Source organism: Homo sapiens, chromosome 16, assembly GCF_000001405.40.
Source record: "Homo sapiens chromosome 16, GRCh38.p14 Primary Assembly".
Classification (NCBI taxonomy): domain Eukaryota; kingdom Metazoa; phylum Chordata; class Mammalia; order Primates; family Hominidae; genus Homo; species Homo sapiens.
Window position 1 is genome coordinate 15,659,951 of NC_000016.10, and position 18,536 is coordinate 15,678,486.

At 49.6% G+C, this 18,536-nt stretch overlaps 1 protein-coding gene across 23 annotated transcripts in view, besides 1 other annotated feature; it reads left to right on the top strand.

Annotated features, from left to right (window-relative positions):
- The window catches only part of NDE1 (nudE neurodevelopment protein 1), an 82,972-nt gene that overhangs the window by 16,569 nt on the left and 47,867 nt on the right, over positions 1-18,536 (top strand). For 16 of the 23 annotated variants that reach the window (NM_001143979.2, XM_047434261.1, XM_047434264.1 and 13 more), the window contains 3 exons: positions 4,786-4,911; positions 7,336-7,489; positions 17,851-17,999. In NM_001143979.2, the coding sequence (NP_001137451.1) occupies positions 4,829-4,911; positions 7,336-7,489; positions 17,851-17,999 (386 nt within the window). In that variant the 5' untranslated portion in view covers positions 4,786-4,828. Of the gene's footprint in view, positions 1-4,785; positions 4,912-7,335; positions 7,490-12,458; positions 12,822-17,850; positions 18,000-18,536 lie in introns of those variants that run through there. The other 7 variants (XM_047434259.1, XM_047434258.1, XM_047434263.1 and 4 more) reach the window with 2 other exon arrangements.
- Positions 12,844-13,585: an enhancer, noted in NCBI's record as "H3K27ac-H3K4me1 hESC enhancer chr16:15766651-15767392 (GRCh37/hg19 assembly coordinates)". NCBI's record gives its function as "activates a minimal SCP1, AML or CMV promoter by ChIP-STARR-seq in primed H9 embryonic stem cells {active_cell/tissue: H9 hESC(primed)}" and the evidence as "EXISTENCE:reporter gene assay evidence [ECO:0000049][PMID:30033119]".

Genomic DNA, 18,536 nt, shown 5'->3' on the forward strand with positions numbered 1-18,536 from the left:
ATTGGCCAGGCTGGTCTCAAACTCCTGACCTTGTGATCTGCCCGCCTCGGCCTCCCAAAGTGCTGGGATTACAGATGCGAGCCACTGAGTCTGGCCTGGACACAATCTTACTTGGATTCCTCATGCCCTTTTGACAAGCTCAGAGCCTCAAATAAATTCAGAAAATAGGTGATTACATCAAACAGCCTCTATCAACAGGGAGTATACAAACCGTTAGCCCAACTGTTAATAGAAGTCTGCTTTCTTGCTGGGTGTGGTGGCTCACACCTAGAATCCTAGTGCTTTGGGAGTACAAGGCAGGAGGATCGCTTGAGCCCAGGAATTTGAGACCAGCCTAGGCAACATAGTAAGACCCCATCTCTTAAAAAAAAAATTAGCTTGGCGTAGTGGCCTATACCTGTAGTCCCAGCTAGTCAGGAGGCTGAGGCAGGAGGATCAGTGCCGCCTAGGAGTTCAAAGATGCAGTGAGCTATGATTGTGTCACTGCACTCCAGCTGGGTTGACAGATTGAGACCCTATCTCTTAAAAAAAAAATTGCTTCCCTCACCTCTGCTGTGAAACAGCTCAAAGTCCTGAGAGCCAAGGCCCCTACCGCCCACATCCTCTAGCTGTTGGCTAATTTATTTCATCGTCTTTTAGGTAATTCTCCAGAATTCCATCGCTTTCCTCTTTTTCACCTCCCAGTTACTCCTGCACTCAGTTCTTCGTCTTTCCTCCTCCACTGTGTAGAAACTGTTCTTGCTCACACCGCCAGTGACCGACTTTCGCTCAGCCTTGTGGATATTTTCCAGCCCTTATCTTCCCTGCTTCTCTGTTGCATCCTTGTGACACTGGAATGTTTCCCTTTTTTCCCTTGAAACCGCCCACTCCCAGGACAGCACAGTCTTCCTGATTCTCATCTCTCTCACTCTGTTTCTTCTCTGCCTCCTTCGGTTACCATTTCTTAAACTGCCCACCTTTCCAATATTGGCATTCTTCACTGTTCCATACACAGTCCCTAGGCGATTCTTCCATGGTCACGAGGAAAAGAGAAAAACCAGCTATAGACGCATGACTTTCAAATGGATATTGTTGACCCAATTTCAACCCTGAGTTTCAGCTGCGATATTGCATCTTGGTGTGTCATGGACATGTCAAGCTGTGAATGTCTGAGACTGGGTTTGTTATCTCTCCTTAACCCACCCACCTACCCAAGAGTTTTACTTGTTTTTTTTTTTTTTTTGAGTCTCGCTCTGTCACCCAGGCTGGAGTGCAGTGGCGCCATCTCGGCTCACTGCAAGCTCCGCCTCCCGGGTTCAAGCCATTCTCCTGCCTCAGCCTCCTGACTAGCTGGGACTACAGGCACCCGCTGCCAGGCCTGGATAATTTTTTGTATTTTTAATAGAGACAGTGTTTCACCATGTTAGCCAGAATGGTCTTGATCTCCTAACCTCGTGATCCACCTGCCTCGGCCTCCCAAAGTGCTGGGATTACAGGTGTGAGCCACCGCGCCCGGCCGAGTTTTCCTTTTGATTGTCCTTTTTTTTTGAGACGGGATCTTGCTGTGTTGCCCAGGCTGGAGTACAGTGGCATGGTCATGGGTCACTGCAGCCTCGACCTCTCCTTGCCCCTCATCCTCTCGAGTAGCTGGAACTACAGACACACCACCATGACCAGCTAGTTTTTGTATTTTTTGTAGAGATAGGGTCTCACCAGGTTGCCCAGGCTGGTCTGGAACTCCTGGGCTCAAGCATTCCACCTGCTTTGGCCTACCAATGTGCTGGGATTACAGGTGCGAGGCACTGCACCCAGCCACCTTCTGGAAGTCTTTATCTCTGGTGATGGGGATGGTGGCGGCACCCAATTGCCTAAGGTAGAGCCCCAGAAGATGTCCTCACCTCCTTTTTCTCTCTCCCCTGCCCCGAAAAGTCATAATTCATCAAGTTCTGGTAAGTTTGCCTTCTAAATATTTTTGGAGTCCATTTCTGTTCCCTCCATCTTCATTCCTACTTTCTTTTTTTTTAGACAAGGTCTCACTCTCTTGCCCAGGCTGGAGTGCAGTACCGTGATCATAGCTTACTGCAGCCTCAAATTCCTGGACTCATGTGATCCTCCTTCCTCAGCCTCCAGAGTAGCTAGGACTACAGATGTGTTGCACCACACCAGTCTAATTTTTTAAAAAGTTTTTTTGTCAAGGTAGGGTCTTGCTGTGTTTCCCAGGCTGGTCTTGAACTCCTGGTCCCAAGTGGTCCTCTTGCCTTGGCCTCCCATAGTGCTGGGATTATACGTGTGAGCCACTGTACCTGGCCTATTCTCACTTTCTAATTCAGGCCACGTTCCTTTCTCTTTTCTTTTTTTTTTTTTTTTTTTTGAGATGGAGTCTTGATCTGTCGCCCAGGCTTGAGTGCAGTGGCGTGATCTCGGCTCACTGCAAGCTCTGCTTCCCAGGTTCACGCTATTCTCCTGCCTCAGCCTCCCGAGTAGCTGGGACTACAGGCACCTGCCACCACGCCCAGCTAATTTTTTTGTATTTTTAGTAGGGACAGGGTTTCACCGTGTTAGACAGGATGGTCTCAATCTCCTGACCTCATGATCCGCCTGCCTCGGCCTCCCAAAGTGCTGGGATTACAGGCATGAGCCACCGTGCCTGGTCTCTTTTCTTTTTTAAATAGGATCTCACTTCATCACCCAGGCTTTAGTGCAGTGGCACTATCTTGGCTCACCGCAACCTCTGCCTCCTGTGCTCAGGTGATCCTCCCATCTCAGCCTCCTGAGTAGCTGGGAACACAGGCATGTGCCACCACAGCTGGCTGATATTTTTCTATTTTTAGTAGAGACGGAGTTTCTCCATGTTACCCAGGCTGGTCTCAAACTCCCAGGCTCAAGCGATCTGCCTACCTTGGCCTGTCAAAGTGCTGGGATTATAGGCGTGAGCCACTGCACCTGGCCTCCACCTTCCTTTCTTTCTTGCATTGCTGCAGGAGCTCCCCATCTTAGGCCTTGTCCTTCCTCTGCCTGTCCATGGCCACCAGGACCAGCTTTTTAAGCAGGAGAGCCCATCATATCACATCACTCTCTTCCCTAACTTTCTCCAATGGTTTCCCATTGCCACTAAGTTTCTTAACATCTTGCAAAAGCCGTCTGTGACTTAGCCCCTTTATTTCAGTCTGTCCAGGTAGGTTCCCTTCCACTCGTCACCTTTCAACCCAGGCTTACCAGACTCCCTCTAGCTCCCCTACAAGTGCCTGGCTGTTTCTCCTCATTCCTTCTTCCCCTGCTCAATTACCATTGCCTTCCAGTTCTTTCATATTCTTTTTTTTTTTTTTTTGAGACGGAGTCTCATTCTGTCGCCCAGTCTGGAGTGCAGCGGCACGATCTCAGCTCACTGCAACTTCCACCTCCCAGGTTCAAGTGATTCTACCGCCTCAGTCTCCTGAGTAGCTGGGAGTATGGGTGCCCGCCACCACGCCCAGCTAATTTTTGTATTTTTTTTTAGTAGAGACGGAGTTTCACCATATTGGCCAGGCTGGTCTCGAACTCCTGCCCTCGTGATCTGCCTGCCTCAGCCTCCCAGTGTGCTGGGATTACAGGCGTGAGCCACTGCACCTGGCTTTTTCATATTCTTTCACATGCTCCTCATGTGTCGCCTCTTCTAGGAAGCCTTCCTTGACTTTCGGGTTGAGTTTTGAACTTCTTAAATATCCTGGGCACTGATAGAAATGTATTTTCAGGTGCATACATATTTCAGAACACACCAATGTGTATACTCAAATATATGCAATTTATTGCATGTCAAAATCCTGTGCACATTTCTGTGGCTATACTAGGCACATAGTTTTATCATAATTTACATGGGGTTGGGTGCGGTGGTTCACGCCTGTAATACCAGCACTTTGGGAGGCTGAGGTGGGTGGTTCACTTGAGGTCAGGAGTTTGAGACCAGCCTGGCCAACATGGTGAAACCCTGTCTCTACTAAAAATAGAAAAATTAGCCAGGCGTGGTGGCGCATGCCTGTAAAATCGCAGTTGCTCGGGAGGCTGAGGCACAAGAATCATTTGAACCCAGGAGGCAGAGGTTGCAGTGAGCTGAGATCACGCCACTGCACTCCAGCCTGGGTGATAGAGCAAGAGTCTGTCTCAAATAATAATTATAATTATTATTTTATGCGTAATTTCCATTCCAGCCCCCACTCCCCCACTCCCTCCACCAGACTGTGAGGCCCCTTTAGGGAAGGCAGGCATCTTGGAGACGTTTTATGTGGCTCCCTAGGTCCTTTAGTAGGTGCTCAATAAATATTTGCATAGGGATATCCATGAGCCTTGATGTTAACCCAGGGAATATAACAGGTGAGTGGATTGTGTTTTGTTTGGGTTTAGCTTCAGATTTTTGGCAGTATTTAATCATTTAACCCAGCATAAAGTTTATTTATTTATTTATTTATTTTGACACAGAGTCTCGGTCTGTCACTCAAGCTGGAGTGCAGTGGCGCCATCTCGGCTCACTGCAAGCTCCACCTCCTGAGTTCACACCATTCTCCTGCCTCAGCCTCCTGAGTAGCTGGGACTACAGGCACCCGCCACCACACCCAGCTAATTTTTCGTATTTTAGTAGAGACGGGGTTTCACCATGTTAGCTAGGGTGGTCTCGATCTCCTGACCTCGTGATCCGCCCGCCTCAGCCTCCCAAAGTGCTGGGATTATAGGCGTGAGCCACCGCGCCTGGCCAAGTTTTTTTTTTTTTTTCTGTTAAAGGGGATCAGCTGTTTAACCAGATGTGGGTAATCATTTTGAAACCTTCTCTCCTAGACACCATGCCACAAGGAGAGTGATCTCTTCCCCTGTTTTCACAATGGAGGACTCCGGAAAGACTTTCAGCTCCGAGGAGGAAGAAGCTAACTATTGGAAAGATCTGGCGATGACCTACAAACAGAGGTCAGTCCGAGTTCACCTGCTTTTCCTTTTTTTTTTTTTTTTGAGATGGGGTCCTGCTATGTTACCTAGGCTGAGTGCGGTGGCTGTTCCTAGGCGTGATCATAGTGCACAGCCGCCTTAAACTCCTGGGCTTAAGCGATCATCCTGGCTCAGCCTCCCAAGTAGATGGGACTATAGGTGTGCTTCATCAGGCCAGGCTTTTTTTTTTTTGGCGGAAACAGGGGTCTCGCTATGTTGCCCAGGCTGGTCTTGAACTCCTGGACTCAAGTGATGCACCTCTGCCTCCCACAGTGTTGGGACTACAGGTGTGAGCTCTCTTTTTTCTATAAAAAGAACAGCAACCATTTATTGCAGGCCTATATGTGCCAGGCAGTGTGAAAGGCTTAACTTACACTATCTCAAAACTGCCTGTGAAAAAACTATTAGCACCCCATTATATAGATGAAGAAACTGAGCCTCAGTGAAGGCAGATAACTTGCTCACAGTCACACAGCCAATAAGTAGCAGAGCTGGAATTTGAACTCCAGACCTATGGTCCTGATTATCCTACTATGCTACTTTACATTTTGTTTTCTTATTTTCTTTTTCTTCTTTTTTTTTTGAGACAGAGTCTCACTCTGTTGCCCAGGCTGGAGTGCAGTGGTGCCATCTTGGCTCACTGCAGCCTCCACCTCTGGGTTGAAGCAATTCTCGTGCCTCAGCTTCTCGAGTAGCTGGAATTACAGGCACCCACCACCACGCCTGGCTAATTTTTTGTGTTTTTAGCAGAGACGGGGTTTTGCCATGCTGGTCAGGCTGGTCTTGAACTCCTGGCTTCACGTGATCTGCCCGTCTCACCCTCCCAAAGTTCTGGAATTACAGGCATGAGCCACCATGCCTGGCCTTCCATCTTATTTTCTTTTTTTTTTTTTTGAGATGGAGTTTCGCTCTTCTTGCCCAGGCTGTAGTGCAATGGCATGATCTCGGCTCACCACAAGCTCCACCTCCTGGGTTCAATCGATTCTCTTGCCTCAGCCTCCCGAGTAGCTAGGATTACAGGCATGCACCACCATGCCCAGCTAATTTTGTATTTTTAGTAGAGACGGGGTTTCTCCATGTTGGTCAGGCAGCTCTCGAACTCCCAACCTCAGGTGATCCACTTGCCTCGGCTTCCCTAAGTGCTGGGATTACAGGCGTGAGCCACCACGCCCGGTGTCCATCTTATTTTCTAGAAGGGTTTTTATCAGTTCCTAGATGCCATATCTGGTAAGTTCTTTGTGCACAGGGAAAGAGCTTTTCCCTATGCCTAGCAAAATATATTGCTAAAGATTTTAAGATTTGAAACTCGTGTTTTGGTCAGGGCTCATATCTGGGAGGTGTGTGTGTGTGCGTTTGGTTTGGCACTGTTTTTATTTATAATGGGTCTTTATAATTTGTACATAGAGGCCTTATTCCAGTCCCCTTAGTTTCTTTCATTTATTGAAAAATTATTTTAGGTCCAGGCACAGTGGCTCACATCTGTAATCCCAGCACTTTGGGTAGGCAGATCACTTGAGCTCAGGAGTTTGAGACCAGCTCTAGCAACATGGCAAAACCCTGTCTGTACAAAAAATACAGAAATTAGCAGGCATGGTGGCATGTTCTTATAGTCTCAGCTACTTGGGAGCCTGAGGTGGGAGAATTGCTTGAGCCTGGGAGGTCGAGGCTGCAGTGACGCATGATCACACCTCTGCATTCCAGTCTGGGTGACAGAGCAAGACTCTATCTCAAATAAATAAATAAAAATTATTTTAGAGTCAGGGTCTCACTCTGTCACCCAGGCTGAATTGCACTGGCTCTTCACAAGTGTGACCTATCTCACTGCAACCCCTGGGACCCCAGGTGATCCTTCTGCCTCAGCCTCCCAGGTAGCTGGGACTACAGGCGTGTGCCACCATGTCTGGCTGATTTTTAAACACATTTCTGTAGAGATGAGGTCTTACTATGTTGCCCTGGCTGGTCTGGAACTCCTGGCCTCAAGTAATTCTTAATGAGCCACTGTACCCAGCCCTTCCTACTTTCTTTATTCTAGTTTGACTTAAAGGTAATTCAGGCTTGATATTTTTAAAATATTCCTTGAATTTGGCCAGGTACAATGGCTAACGCCTGTAATCCCAGCACTTTGAGAGGCCGAGGCAGGCAGATCACCTCCAGTCAGGAGATCGAGACCAGCCTGGCCAACATGGTGAAACCCCGTCACTACTAAAAATACAAAAATTAGCTGGGTGTGGTGCCGCATGCCTGTAGTCCCAGCTACTCGGGAGACTGAGGCAGGAGAATCGCTTGAACCTGGAAAGCAGAGGTTGCAGTGAGACGAGATTGCAGCACTGCATTGCAGCCTGGGTGATAGAGCGAGACTCTGTCTTCAAAAATATTACTACGTGATGATTAACAATTTTGCTGTAGGGCAGAAAATACGCAAGAGGAACTCCGAGAATTCCAGGAGGGAAGCCGAGAATATGAAGCTGAATTGGAGACGCAGCTGCAACAAATTGAAACCAGGAACAGAGACCTCCTGTCCGAAAATAACCGCCTTCGCATGGAGCTGGAAACCATCAAGGTGAGGGGCTGAGAGGAAGTGTGCTCAGGTGTAGACAGGCGTCCAACACAGGCATGGCATGCTTGGCTGGAAGAAGGAACCCTGCAATGAGGGACTCCAGACCCCAGGCCCATGCTCATCTCTGGAAGGGCCTGTGCGGCAGACGTGATCTTTGAACTCTTTGTGCCTCTAGTGGGTGGTGCTTTTTGTTTTGTTTTTTTTTTTTTTTTGAGATGGAGTTTCACTCTTGTTGCCCAGGCTGGAGGGCAGTGGCGCGATCTTGGCTCACTGCAACCTCCACCTCCCAGGTTCAAGTAATTCTCCTGCCTCAGCCTCCTGAGTAGCTGGGATTATAGGCGCCTGCTACCACGCCTGGCTAATTTTTTTTGTATTTGTAGTAGAGACGGGGTTTTATGTTGGCCAGGCTGGTCTCGAACTCCTGACCTCGGGATCCATGATGGGTGGAGCTTTGAGAAGCAAGTCACACACATGTTCCCGTGGACTTTCTTGGTTGTGTACACTGATTTTATAGGGCACATGGCAGGGAGACTTTTTTTTTTTTTTGAAACAGGGTCTTGCTCTGTTGCCCAGACTGGAGTACAGTGGCTGGATTACAGCTCACTGCACCCTGGACGTCTCAGGTTTAAGCAGTCCTCTCACCTGGGCCGGGCGAGGTGGTGCATACCTGTAATCCCAGCACTTTGGGAGGCTGAGGTGGGCAGATCACGAGGTCAAGAGATTGAGACCATCCTGGCCAACATGATGAAACCCTGTCTCTACTAAAATTACAAATATTAGCTGGGCGTGGTGGTACACGCCTATAGTCCCAGCTTACTTGGGAGGCTGAGGCAGGAGAATCACTTGATGGTTGGAGGCTGTAGTGAGCTGAGATTGTGCCACTGCACTCCAGCCTGGCAACAGAGCGAGACTCCGTCTCAAAAAAAACCAAAGTCCTTCCACCTGAACCTCGGGAGTAGCTGAGACTACAGGCATGCGGCACCATGCCTGGTTAGTTTTTGTATTTTTTATAGAGACAGGGTTTCGCTGTGTTGCCCAGGCTGGTCTTGAACTCCTGGACGCGAGCAGTCCTCCTGCCTTGGCCTCCCAAATTGCTGGGATTATAGGCATGAGCCACCACCTGGCCAGGGAGACATTTTTAGGGTATGGAGGTGTTGCTAGAGTAATATCATCAGGTCCAATATTGTAGCCCTTAGCTACATTTGGCTGTTGAAATTTAATGAATTAAAATAAAAACTTAATTCCTCAGTCACAGTAGCCACATTTCAAGTGCTTAGGAGCCACGTGTGGCCAGTGAGTTTCCTTAGTGGACAGAGGGGCTGCAGACCATTTCCTTCATTACCAAAAGGTGTGTTGCACTCTGCCAGTTCAGAGCAGGTTTCTCGACCTGGCTGCTGTTGACATTGGAGCCCGGATCATCCTCCGTTGGGAGGGACTGAGGTTTGCTTTGTGGGTTTTTTGTTTGTTTGTTTTGTATTTTTGAGATGGAGTCTTGCTCTGTTGCCCAGGCTGGAGTGCAGTAGCGCGATCTCGGCTCACTGCAAGCTCCGCCTCCCAGGTTCACACCATTCTCCTGCCTCAGCCTCCCGAGTAGCTAGGACTACAGGCGCCTGCCACCACGCCTGGCTAAATTTTTTGTATTTTTAGTAGAAACGGGGTTTCACCGTGTTAGCTAGGATGGTCTTGATCTCCTGACCTCAGGATCCGCCTGCCTCAGCCTCCCAAAGTGCTGGGAATACAGGCGTGAGCCACTGTGCCCAGCCTGTTTTTTTTTTGAGATGGAGTCTTGCTCTGTTGCCCAGGCTGGAGTGCAGTGGCACAATCTCACCTCACTGCAACCTCCGCCTCCCAGGTTCAAGTGATTGTCCCGCCTCAGCCTCTTGAGTAGCTGGGATTACAGGCACCCTCCACCACGCCTGGCTAATTTTTTTTTTTTTTTTTTTTGAGACGCAGTCTCACTCTGTTGCCAGGCTGGAGTGCAGTGGCGTAATCCCGGCTCACTGCAACCTCCACCTCCTGGGTTCAAGTGATTCTCCTGCCTCAGCCTCCTGAGTAGCTGAGATTACAGGCACACACCGCCATGCCTGGCTAATTTTTGTATTTTTAGTAGAGATGGGGTTTCACCATGTTTTCCAGGATGGTCTTGATCTCTTGACAGTGTGATCTACCCGCCTTAGCCTCCCAAAGTGCTGGGATTACAGGTGTGAGCCACCACGCCCGGCTAATTTTTGTATTTTTAGCAAGGACGAGGTTTCACCATGTTGGCCAGGCTGGTCTCGAACTCCTGAGCTCAGGTGATCCGCCCGCCTCAGCCTCCCAAAGTGCTGGGATTACAAGCATGAGTCACCCCGCCTGACCACACTGTGGGATGTTTGGCAGCATCCCTGGCCTCCACCCTCTAGATGCCAGTAGCATTCCCCGCACCTCCAAGGTGGTGAAAACCAAAAGCACCTCTAGACATAGCCAGGTATCTGGAGACCCAGTGCTCTGCAAGGTAAAAACCATCCCTTCTGTACATGCTGTAGGGCTCAGCAAGGGATCACTAAGTCAACACCGTGCCCCAGAGACTGGCTCTCAGCCTTAGCTGCCAGCCAGCATCACTAGGCCAGCTTCATAAACATCCGACAGGCCTGAACCCTCTCTCCCCATCCCCATCTCCCCGCCTTGCTCTGAGATTCCATTTCTCAGTAAGTCTGGGTGGGGCCCTGGCATGTCTGTGTGGTTTTCTTTTTCTCATTAAACTCCCAATGTACATTTTGATGAGCTGCTTCATGGAAGAGTCAAAACTGTGTGTGCCCAGGGCTAGGTATGATGGACGGTGAAAGGGGAAGTGCTGGTTGCCTTCTTTGGGAAGACAAACCTAATGCCATGAAGCAGTTGGGGACGTGAAGCTCAGTCACAGAACTCTGATGTGGGGGCCTTTCAAGAGAAAAAGGACTGGCTGGGTGCGGTGGCTCATGCCTGTTATCCCAGCACTTCAGGAGGCCGAGGTGGGCAGATCACCTGAGGTTGGGAGTTTGAGACCAGCCTCACCAACATGACAAAACCCTGTCTCTACTAAAACTACAAAATTAGCTGGGTGTTGTTGTATGTGCCTGTAATCCCAGCTACTTGGGAGGCTGAGGCAGGAGAATCACTTGAACCCGGGAGGCGGAGGTTGCAGTGAGCCGAGATTGCACCATTGCACTCTAGCTTGGGCAACAAGAGCGAAACTCTGTCTCAAAAAAAAAAAAAAAGAAAGAAAAAGAAAGGACTGCATGGGTTGAGGGAGGCTGTGTGGAGGGTGTTTGTAGGTGTATGTGTTGCTGACACTTGGTGCTTGGGGAGATGGGGCTGAAGGAGAGTTGATCTGTACCCATCACAGACGTGGACAAGAATGGGTGTCGGGTGGACCTTGGCAAGCCCAGCTTTACTAATGTATAGGAAAGGGTGTGGGACCAACAAATGGATTGGGGGTTTGGGGCAGGGCGGAGGAGAGGTCCCAGACACGTTGAAGGTGGTCATTGAAGCTGAAGCTTTCTGTTGGAGACCACAGAGTGCAGCTGGCCGTCTGCAGATCCATCTGCCCCATAGGTGTTGTTTGATCGCCTTCAGGGGTTTTTGTTCAGCATTTCCCCATGAACGTTTTCCAGCATATAAGGCTGAAAGAATTTCCAGTGAATACCTGTGTATCCACCACCACCTAGGCTCTACCAATAATATTTCCCCTACTTACTTGCCTTTTATTATATATATTCCCCCATCCATCAAAATTTGTAAAGCTTCCTGTAAAAAGATGGATTTCTGGCCAGGCATGGTGGTTCATACTTGTAATCCCAGCCCTTTGAGAGGCTGAGGAGGGAGAATTGCTTGAGACCAGGAGTTCAAGGCCAGCCTGGGCAACATAGCGAGACTCTGTCTCTACAAAAAAATAAAAATAAAAAATTCATTGGACATGGTAGTGCACACCTGTAGTCTAAGCTACTCAAGAGGCTGAGGCAGGAGCATTGCTTGAGCCCAGGAGGTTGAGGCTGCAGTGAGCTATGATTGTACCATTGCACTCCATCCTGGGTGACAGAGCAAAAGTTAAAAAATAAAAAACCTGAGTAGTGGTTGTTTAGAACACACATTGTTGAGTTTCCCCCAATCCCCATATCCGTGACACGGAGACCTTAGTGTCATCTGCCTCTCCCTGTACTTGGCCCACTTCACCCATTTGTTAACAGCTGAACACCTGCTACACACAATGAGCAATGATTATCGTTCTTTTTGTTGTTGTTGTTTTTGCTGTTGGAGACAGAGTCTCCCCCTGTCACCCAGGCTGGAGTGCAGTGGTGTGATCTCAGCTCACTGCAACCTCTGACTTCCAGGCTTAAGTGATCCTCCCACCTCAGCCTCCCAAGTAGCTGAGATTACAGGCACCTGCCACACCACGCCTGGCTAATTTTTGTTATTTTTTGTAGAGACGGGTTCATGTGCCCATGCTAGTCTGGGACTCCTGAGCTCAAGTGATCCGCCTGCCTCGGCCTCTCAAAGTGCTGGGATTACAGGTGTGAGCCACTGCGCCTGGCTGATTATAGTTCCTAAATTGAAGGGGACTCTGGGTTGAAAAGCTGGGTAGGAGGAAGATTAGTGGTATGAACTGCAGTTTGGAGAGGATAACAGGCCCTCCATGGATCCTGAGTAAAATATCAAGAGAATTACTCAGTAATTCTCTGCTTCAAGACTGAGCTCTTGGGCCTGGCGTGGTGGCTGATGCCTGTAATGCCAGCACTTTGGGAGACCGAGGCGGGCGGATCATGAGGTCAAGAGATTGAGACTGTCCTCGCTAACATGGTGAAACCCCGTCTCTACTAAAAATAAAAAAATTAGCTGGGCATGGTGGCGCACACCTGTAGTCCCAGCTACTCGGGGGCTGAGGCAGGAGAATTGCTTGAACCTAGGAGGTGGAGGTTGCAGTGAGCTGAGATTGCGCCACTGTACTGCAGCCACATGTCAGATGCAGGAGACTCAGAGCACACAGCACAGTGAAGAAACAGGGTACCTTGGAATAACGAGGACCCTGCCACCAGCAAGTATTTGTCAGTCACCTAAGAGAAATATATTCAGCTGGGCCGGACTTCTTAACAACTGGCTTATTCATCACGGGTTGAATGAAAAAGCCTTTAAGGGACCAAACAGAGCATCTATTGATGCCCCCATCAGCTGACAGCTTATTCGAATTAGCCCCAAATGGCAGCACAACATTTCAGCAACAGGTTTTCATGTCCACAGGTTCCGAGGAGATCTCTCAATCGCCAGTGCAGTCGGTGGAGCCCACTCGCTGCGTCCTCCTGGAGCCTGCGTTTGAATTTAGGTTAATGACTTAAGATCCTGTTTTATTTGGAGATGTTCCCAAATAAAGGGTGTGAGGCGATGAGAGCCACGCCTGGGAACAGGGCCTGGTCTGCCTCTACTTGCTGGGTGCAGATACTTCTCTGCTTACAGCCAGGAAATGGGGAGGGTGCTGCGGGCGGCAGCAGGGATGTGGTCCGCCCTCCTCATCCTTCCAACGCTGTAAATCATCTGTTTGTTCTTTCTTTGGAGTCTTCTTGCACAATGGCTCTCGCCACGCCTCTCTGGCCTAGGCACCATTACATCACCCTGGGTGCATCCGGACTTTCTAGCAACGGCTTTGTTTACTTGATTGAGTAAAGAGAAGTTGGCCTTTTTTAACTTTTAAATTAGACCTTGCGCCTTTCTTGTGGGAAGTGTTTTCTCTTATGTTTGTAGAATCTAGGATGGGTGTTTTGTGTTTTCGGTTTTGATTTTTTTTTGAGATGGGGTCTCTGTCACCCAAGCTGGAGTGCAGGGGCACAATCTTGGCTCACTGCAACCTCCGCCTCCCGGGCTCAAGCGATTCCCCTGCCTCCCGGGTAGCTGGGACCATAGGCACTTGCCACCACACCCAGCTATTTTTTGTATTTTTGGTAGAGACGGGGGTTTCACCGTGTTGGCCAGGCTGTTCTCAAACTCCTGACCTCAAGTGATCTGCCCGCCTTGGCCTCCCAAGTAGCTGGAACTACAGCCGTGCACCACTATGCCGGGCTAATTTTTGTATTTTGGTTTCGCCATGTTGCCCCAGGCTGGTGATTTTTTTTTTTTTTTTAAGCGTTGGCCTGGGCTAGAGTGCAGTGGCATGATCATAGTTTACTGGAGCCTCAACCTCCTGGCCTCAAGCAGTCCTCCCACCTCAGCCTCCCCCATAGCTAGGACTGCAGGTGCATGCCACCACGCCTGGCTGTTCTTAAATTTTCTGTAGAGATGGAGTCTTCCTATGTTGCCTAGGCTAATATGCCTCTGCCACCTGAGGTGCTGGGATTGCGGCATGAGGCACCGCACCTGGCTCTGGGTGTTTGGTGAAGGAAAGTAATTTGGAAGCAGAGCAGGAATAGAATCGAGAGAGCACGGGAACGGGCAGGTGATCTGGATTGAGATGGTTTAGGGCTGGTTAGCATAATTGCTTAAGGACACCTGCTCAGGAGGCTGGGGTTTGGTCTTGGCCCAGTCATTTGCTACTGGTTGATTCTGGGCTAGTTAAGTAATTGAGTCTCAGTGTTCATGTCTCTGAAGTGGAATTAAACGAGACAACATAGGAAGTGTACTTAGCCTGGAGGCCAGCACAGAATAAGTATGTAATGGATGTTATTGCTGCAGCTGGCAACAGGGAATCATTGAGAAGTGCGCTGGACTGTTTCTTTGGTAATTAACAAGATCTCCCTCTCTGTCTCTCTCCTCTCCTTTTCTCTCCCTTTCCCTTCCTCCATCTTCTCCCTCCCTTCTGTCTTAGTTTTTGTTTGTTTGTTTTGAGATGGAGTCTTGTTCGTCGCCCAGACTAGAGAACAGTGGCACAATCTCTGCTCACTGCAACCTCCGCCTCCTGGGTTCAAGCGATTCTCCTGCCTCAGCCTCCCGAGTGGCTGGGATTATAGACAACGCACCACCACACTCGGCTAATTTTTTTTTGCATTTTTGGTAGAGACGGGGTTTCACCATGTTGTCCAGGCTGGTCTTGAACTCCTGACCTCAGGTGATCCACCTGCCTCAGCCTCCCAAATTGCTGGGATTACAGGTGTGGGTCACTGCTCCCGGCCTGTCTTTGTTTTTAAACCCAGAGATTGGAATGTTCTTTCTGTCTCCATGCTACAACGGAGAGTCCTGGATCAAAAATTCAGAATAATTGACTGTTGTGTAAACCAAGTACATGCTGCTCTCCCATTGTTGTGGGCACAAACAACAGAAGTCATTGAGATTCCTTTTTTTTTGCTTTTTGAGATAGCTGGGTCTCACTCTGTTGCCCAGGTTGGAGTGCAGTGATGCAATCACGGCTCACTGCAGCTTCAACCTCCCAGGCTCAAATGGTGTTCCCATCTCAGCCTCCTAACTGGGACTACAGGCGACGCCACCATGCCCTGCTAATTTTTATTTTTTGTAGAGACTGAGTCTGGCTCTGTGGGCCACGCTGGTGACTCTTTGTAATACGGTGATAATGTGTGAAAGCAGGCTTGCGTTGCCCCTGTGGATGAGGCTTGGAGAGGTCCATGTGGCTTTCTTTGGTTGTGGACACCTTGGGCAGAATGATTTGTCTGAAGATTGCTGGGGGCTTCAGACAATGATTTGTCTGAAGATTGTGGGAACCAGGTTTGGGAGTGGGCAGGATTCAAGGTGCTCAAGGGGCAGGAGGTGGGAGGCACTTAGGACATAATTGAAACAGTTATTCAGTGTGCCTGCCTGCCCGCCCCCTCCCAGTCCCCCACCACTGCCAGAGAGTTTTGCTCTTGTTGCCCAGGCTGGAGTGCAATGGCACGATCTGGGCTCACTGCAACCTCCGCCTCCCGGGTTCAAGAGATTGGCCTGCCTCAGCTTCCCAAGTAGCTGGGATTATAGACGCCCGCCACCAGGCCCAGCTAATTTTTTGTATTTTTAGTAGATACGGGGTTTCGCCATGTTGCCAGGCTGGTGATTTTGGGTTTTTTTTTTTTTTTGCTTGTTTTTTTTAAGTGTCGTGGTCTCACTCTGTGGCCTGGGCGGGAGTGCAGCGGCGTGATCATAGCTCACTGCAGCCTCAACCTCCTGGTCTCAGGCAGTCTTCTTGCCTCACCCTCCCAAGTAGCTAGGACTACAGGTGCATGCCACCACGCCTGGCTGTTTTCACATTTTTTGTAGAGGCAGAGTCTTGCCCAGGCTGGTCGAGAACTCCTGGGCTCAAGCAATCCTGCCTCTGCCACCTGAAAGTGCTGGGATTACAGGCATGAGGCACCACACCTGGCTCTGGGTGTTTGGTGAAGGAAAGTAATTTGGAAGCAGAGCCGGAACAGAATCAAGAGAGCTCGGGAGTGGGCAGGTGATCTGGATTGAAATGGTTTGGGGCTGGTTAGCATAATTGCTTAAGGACACCTGCTCAGGAGGCTGGGGTTTGATCTTGGCTCAGTCATTTGCTACCAGTTGATTCTGGGCTAGTCAGGTCACTGAGCTTCAGTGTTCATGTCTCCAAAGTGGGATTAATGAGACAACATAGGTGGTGTACTTAGCCTGGAGGTGGCACAGAATAAGTATGTAATGGATGTTATTGCTGCAGCTGGCAACAGGGAATCATTGAGAAGTCAGCTGGACTGTTCCTTTGGTAATTAACATAGATCTCTCTCCCTTTCCTTCCCTCTCCCTCCCTTCCTCTCTCCTCTGTCTCCCTTCCTCTCTCCTCTCTCTCCCTCCCCCATTTTATCCCCTCCTTTTCTCCCTCCTTCTTTTTCTTTCTTTCTTTGTTTTTCTGGTTTTTTTTTTTTTTTTTGAGACAGAGTCTCGCTGTTATTGCCCAGGCTGGAGTGCAGTGGTGCAACCTCCGCCTCCCGTGTTCAAGCGATTCTCCCGCGTCAGCCTTCTGAGTAGCTGGGATTATAGGCATGCACCACCACGCCTGGCTAATTTTTTTGTATTTTTAGTAGAGTCCAGATTTCACCATGTTTTCGAGGCAGGTCTCAAACTTCTGACCTCAGGTGATCCGCCCACCTCAGCCCTCCAAAGTGCTGGGATTACAGGTGTGAGCCACTGCGCCTGGCCTGTCTTTATGTTTTTAAATAACCTAGAGATCAAACTGTTCCTTTTTTCTCCATGTCACAACGGGGAGTCCTGGATCAAAAATTCAGAATGGCGGACTGTTTTAAAACCAAGTTCATGCTGCCCTCCCATTGTTGTGGGCACAAACAACGGACGTCATTATGATTTCTTTCCTTTTGAGGCAGCAGGGAGTTGCCCAGGCCGGAGTGCAGTGGTGCCTTCACAGCCCACTGCAGCTTCGACCTCTCAGGCTCGAATGGTCCTCCCACCTCAGCCTCGCGAGTAGCTAGGACTACAGGCAAGAGCCACCATGCCCTGCTAGTTTTTATTTTTTGTAGAGGCCAGGTCTCACTCTGTGAGCCGGGCTGGTGACTCTCTTTGTAATACACTGATGATATGTGTGAAGGAGGCCCATGTTGCCGTGTGGATGAGGCTTGGAGAGGTTTACGTGGCTTGCTTTGGCTGTGGACACCTTGGGTAGAATGATTTGTCTGAAGAATGATGGAGGCTATAGGAATCTCAACCCTGTTGAGAGTAGGCAAGATTCAAGGTGCTCAGGGGGCAGAGGCACTCAGGACATAATTAAAACAGTTGGTCCGTTGTGCCTGCTTTGAATGACACCTGCCTGTTCCCACCACGTTACATCACTTGCCTAAGAGTCAGCTCTGGAGAGAAGGTTCTGTTGACTGAGCCTGGCTTGTCTCCCGATTGTGGTGGGAGGGTGGGACAGAAAGCCTGGAGCCCCACCCAGGGAGTGTGGTGGGAGGAGTAGTTTCATAAAGAGAGAGGGTCAGGCCAGGTGCAGTGGCTCACACCTGTAATCCCAGCACTTTGGGAGGCCGAGGCGTGCAGATCACTTGAGGTGTCAGGAGTTCAAGACCAGCCTGGCCAACGTGGTAAAACCCGGTCTCTACTAAAAATACAAAAATTAGCCACTATTGTTGGTGGGTGGCTGTATTCCCAGCCACTTGGGAGGCTGAGGCAGGAGCATTGCTTGAACCTGGGAGGCAGAGGTTGCAGTGAGCCAGGATCTTGCCGCTGCACTCAAGCCTGGGCAACAGAGTGAGACTCGGCCTCAAAAGAAAAAAAAAAAAACACGGAGTCTTGCTGTGTTGCCCAGGCTGGAGTGGAGTGTTACAGTCATAGCTCACTGCAGCCTCTAACTCCTGGGCTCAGGCAGTCCTCCCAGTTTAGCCTCCCGAGTAGCTGTGACTCCAGGTGGATGTGTGCTACTGTGTCTAGCCTTCTCAGAAGTCTTAAGTCATTCACTCAGTGTCTGTGTTGTCCTTCAGGAGAAGTTTGAAGTGCAGCACTCTGAAGGCTACCGGCAGATCTCAGCCTTGGAGGATGACCTCGCGCAGACCAAAGCCATTAAAGACCAATTGCAGAAATACATCAGAGAGCTGGAGCAAGCAAATGACGACCTGGAAAGAGCCAAGCGGTATGGGTGGAAGGGAAAAGCACGAGTGGGAGACTCTCCTCTCTGCTTTTTGTCCCCAGCAGCTGGGTACTGGGCCCTGTGCTGAGTATAGGGAACTAAGCAGTGAGCAGAACAAAGCCAGTGCCCTTCTGGATTTTAGTGCCCGGGGGGAAATGGACAATAGTCGAAGAAGTGCAATTTCATTACAGCAGCAAGGCTGGCAGCCCAGGGTGCTGTGGGGGTGTGTAATAGGATGTATTAATTTGGCTGTTGGCCTGGGAGCGTCAGGCGAGCCTTACCAGGGGAAATGCTATTTAGGCTAAGACCAGAGGAATGAGTAGCCATGATGCCAGGAGGGGTGTGAGACAAGAACATTCCAGACAGAACACCAAGCCTGTGCTAAGCCCCTAAGGTGGGAAGGAAGCTTTTTCAAAGAACAGTTTTTTGTTTTTTTTTGGAGACGGAGAGTCTCTGTCGCCAGGTTGGTGTACAGTGGCGTGATTTCGGCTCACTACAATCCCTGCCTCCTGGATTCAAGCAATTCTCATGCCTCAGGCT